Below are 4,419 nucleotides of genomic sequence, written 5' to 3'. Positions count from 1 at the left end.
TATGGTTCTGTTTTGTTCATGAAACTCAATTATACGTAAGTGATGATGTCAATGAGAGAAGCTATCTCCTTGGTTGAGAATCTATGTTTTTTCATATACCTCATAAACATGCATGCAGATAGATAAATACATCGATAGCTCCAAAGAAGAATAATTCTAGATTGAAATGAAAAGAACTGCAAAATGGTTAGTAATCTGATATTTTTCAACATTTTCCTTTTATTTAGATAGTATTCAGATTTAAGTCAACAACAAAAAGGAATACCTACTAAACATGTCTTTATATTTATATATCAAGCATATATGTTTTATTTAATTCAGATCACATTTGTCAACTCACTCTGAATGTGTAATGAATTCTTCTATCCATTCAAAATTTCTTTCTTTTTATTGTAAGAGCAAGCAAATGGTGACAGATCAAATGATATTCCTAGGTTAATTATGAAAGTGTATTTTCTTTCCAAGAATTATTGTAATTGGTATAACCTCACCCTATCATACTCTTCTGTCCATTAATTTATTTGACATTTTCATTGAACAACTGATGTACATAACTATTAAATTAGTATAGAATTTTTTTTCATATTGGATTAACATATTTAACTCAAAATATTTTAGATAATTTTTTCAGCTAGCTTTTCTATTATCTTACTTGGTCTTCATGGTATGATATGGCAAAGTCATGGCATGATATAGCAAAGTTATCATTTGGCCAGTAGAAAACTTTATTTTCATTATTTCACACACCAACACAGGATCTGAGTTTCACAATTAACTCATGATCTTCCTGGAAAAATATCCCCAAAATAGCATAACAGAGAAATAATTGTGCAAGTCATTGAGTCCACTGAATTAAGAGAAAAAAATTGAAAAATAAACATTTCTCAGTTTCCAAAGTTAATCGCTATCCAAAAGATACTATAATTGTTCTACTTTTCAATTAGGAAAAAAAGCAGAAGTATTTGATTGTTTTGGTTCATATCTTTCACAGCATTATATGATCATATATGTGCATGTATATATATGTGTGTATTTGTGTATCACAATGAAGTATATCTTATTATTTTGTTATTTGAAAATACATAAGAAAAGCAGGGCATATTTTATTAAATATATTTTATTTGTAATAAATAATAAAATTTGCCTTTAATTTGTAAAATCTATTGGATTATATTTCTCTTGGAGATGGTTATATGCATCGGAAATAGCAATGTACATTAGCCTTTCATGAGGGTTAGAAAATCTTGCAGGTTTACCCAATAATTCATGAGATTCTTAAAGTAGTTAGACTTACTTATTATTGTTTGTCTTCAACAACTACTCATTGAGAATTTAAACATTGTCCAGTTTTCTTTTTCAGAACGAAAATAAAGGTGGAATTAATTTTGATAAAGGAGAAAACAACCATGGCAAATATTGAGTTAAATATTCATTTAAAACCTGAAAGCCATTTTGAGTGCATATTCCACCTTAGATATGCACTACATGTTGAGGCAGGCAAAATTCATTCTTTCATTTATCCAACAAATTTTTTGGAAGAATAGTGAACAAATCAAGTTGAGAAAACGCATTATCAAAAATGTTGCTTATAGACCTCAAAACAAAGCAAAACAGAAAACAAAACAACAAAAAATACTCTTGGCAAAATGTTTAAAGTCTTGTAAAGCAAAGTATTGCTTAAGGACCCAAATCCAATATATGGTCATATTTTGGTGGAGCTAAACTTGGGATTGATTTACTATCTTCCTAGAGTAAGCACAGAAAATCTGTGGAGCATGGCCAGCCCTCCTCACATCCTTGCTTCCTATCTCAGTTATTTCACCACTGCACATTCGCATTTGAGATTTTCAAGGCATCAGAATTTTAAGAGACTGTTAGATGTATTATATGACTCTAAGAGTCATATAAAATATTGTTTAAAAATGTATAACCTTAATAAATAAATAATGTCTTATGTTTGCTGGTTGAGAGAAAGTAGGAAGATGAGGCACACAGAATTGGAAAAGAAAACATAAGGACAAAAATATTGTGATAAAATTAAATATATGGGTAGAAGGGTAAAATACTGATTAGAAAAAAATGGATAAGAAGAAATACCTGCTTGGCACTAGTACATATTGGGAATGAATGCAGCATAAAATGAAAAGCTTTGATAAAGAGAACTGATATATACATAGTGAGGAAGAGTAGGAAGTGGAAGAAAAGTGGTATCTGTAAAGCATGAAGCCAAGCTCATCTGAGTTTCTAGGTAATACTTTATTTAGAGCCAGTTCTGGAAAATTGTGTAACGATAAAAATAGACTTGATTGTTTTCGTGTGTGTGTGTGTGTGTGTGTGTGTATGTGTCTGTTTTAGACAGTTTCACTCTGTTACCCAGGCTGGAGCGCAGTGGCATGATCATGGCTCACTGCAGCATTGACCTCCCAGGGATCAAACAATCCTCCTGCCTTTGCCTCCCGAGTAGCTGGAACCACAGGTGTGCACCTCACACCTGGCTATTTTTTGATTTTTTGGTGGAGACAAGGTCTCCCTATGTTGCCCAGGCTACTCTCAAACTCCTGGTGATATAGTTTGGCCATGTCCCCATCCGAATCTCAACTTGAATTGTATCTCCCAGAATTCCCATGTGTTGTGGGAGGGATCCAGGTGGAAGTAATTGAATCATGAGGGCTGGTCTTTCCCTTGTTATTCTCATGATAGTGAGTAAGTCTCATGAGATCCGATGGGTTTATCAGGGGTTTCCGCTTTTGCTTCTTTCTCATTTTCTCTTGCCGCCACCATGTAAGAAGTACCTTTCACCTCCTGCCATGATTCTGAGGCCTCCAGAGCCATGTGGAACTGTAAGTCCAATTAAACCTATTTTTCTTCCCAGTCTCAGGTATGTCTTTATCAGCAGTGTGAAAACAAACTAATATACCTGATCTCAAGTGATCTTCTCACCTTGGCCTCCAGAATTACAGGGGTGAGCCACTGTGCCCCACCTGAAGAGAATATCTTTGAACTGCTGTTCAGGCTGGTGTAAAACTGAGTTTATTCTCTTGGATAATATATCAGTTTCTGGAATAAATTTTGTTACATTGATAAGCCAAAACAATGTTTTGCAAGCTGATATAGAAAATTAAAGTAGTTTTATATTATGTCTACATACATATTTTCCATTACTTTGTGTTTACCACAGCTGATAAGAAAATTTATTTATTCAAAAACTTCCTTTTCTTTTGAAGGAGGAATAGCCTTAATTTCTCAACGCAATAAAAATATTTGATATTTGAAGGCTTTACTAGATTTAAAAGTTTTAAACTTGATCGATTTATTTGAATCTAGGTGGAGGTAAAATAGAACAATCTAAGGAATGGTGTAAAAATGAGAAATGAGAAAACATTTAATAAAAACACAGTGTCAAATACAAATAATTCAATATGCATAGTGATGAAGAATTTAGGATTTTTTAAAAATTGTGTAACTTTGAAGATGCAGACTATTTTATCATTAAAAAGAATGTATCAGCTGGGCGCAGTGGCGCAAGCCTGTAATGCCAGCACTTTGGGAAGCCAAGGTGTGTGGATCACCTGAAGTCAGGAGTTCGAGACCAGCCTGGCCAACATGGTGAAACCCTGTCTCTACTAAAAATATAAAAATTAGCTGAGAGTGGTGGCAGACACCTGTAATCCCAGCTACTCAGGAGGCTGGGGCAGGAGAATCACTTGAACCCAGGAGGTGGAGTTTATAGTGAGCTGAAATCACAACATTGCACTCCAGCCTGGGTGACAAGAGCAAGACTCCATCTTAAAAAAAAAATGTAATAAGTTCAAGGGCATTCTAACCATGCAGCTAAGCCAGCTCAAAGATTTTAATGAGTTTGTGTCTCTCCTTGTGCTAACAAACAGATTGATTATTTGTATAGAGTAGATAAATAAATTGGGATGCTGCAAAAGGATGGCCACATGTTTATCACATGTTCTGCTCAGGGTATATAAGCGTTCCCTAAACATGCTATATTCACACTCAGGACCTTGCCTGGGACAGCAAACCCAACTCACTATCTCTGACACCGTGAGCTACTAGGGCAGCTACTGTGGAGGTCTGGGCTATGGCTGTGGAGGCTTTGGTGGCATGTGCTATGGCTACGGCTGTGGATGTGGCAGCTTCTGCAGACTGGGCTATGGCTGCGGCTATGAAGGATGCAGATATGGTTGTGGCCACAGAGGCTGTGGAGATGGCTGCTGCTGCCCATCATGCTACAGAAGATATAGATTCACTGGCTTCTACTAAGCTGCTGCTCTAGTGATGCAGCATCTGTTATTTTGAAGGGATTTAAAAACAAGTTACTTACTTCTAAGATACAATGGGGGTAAAGGTGTAAATGTGTAAATGCTCCCATTCCAAAGGGAGAAATTGACCAAAACAAAGGGGCTATAA

At 35.4% G+C, this 4,419-nt stretch overlaps 1 protein-coding gene across 1 annotated transcript; it reads left to right on the top strand.

Annotated features, from left to right (window-relative positions):
- Window positions 1-4,025: 4,025 nt before the first annotated feature.
- On the top strand, window positions 4,026-4,419 carry KRTAP19-2 (keratin associated protein 19-2). The gene has a single exon (NM_181608.2). It carries the CDS (start codon window positions 4,114-4,116, stop codon window positions 4,270-4,272), a length of 159 nt encoding a protein of 52 aa, NP_853639.1. The 5' UTR covers window positions 4,026-4,113; the 3' UTR covers window positions 4,273-4,419.

The sequence above is a fragment of the Homo sapiens genome, chromosome 21 (assembly GCF_000001405.40).
Source record: "Homo sapiens chromosome 21, GRCh38.p14 Primary Assembly".
Lineage (NCBI taxonomy): Eukaryota > Metazoa > Chordata > Mammalia > Primates > Hominidae > Homo > Homo sapiens.
Note: the sequence above shows the minus strand (reverse complement) of the source record. Positions and strands in the feature narration are given on the sequence as shown.

Excerpts from the sequence above, each read along its gene's own strand:
- KRTAP19-2 (NM_181608.2), top strand. The coding sequence starts at position 4,114 with ATGTGCTATGGCTACGGCTGTGGATGTGGCAGCTTCTGCAGACTGGGC.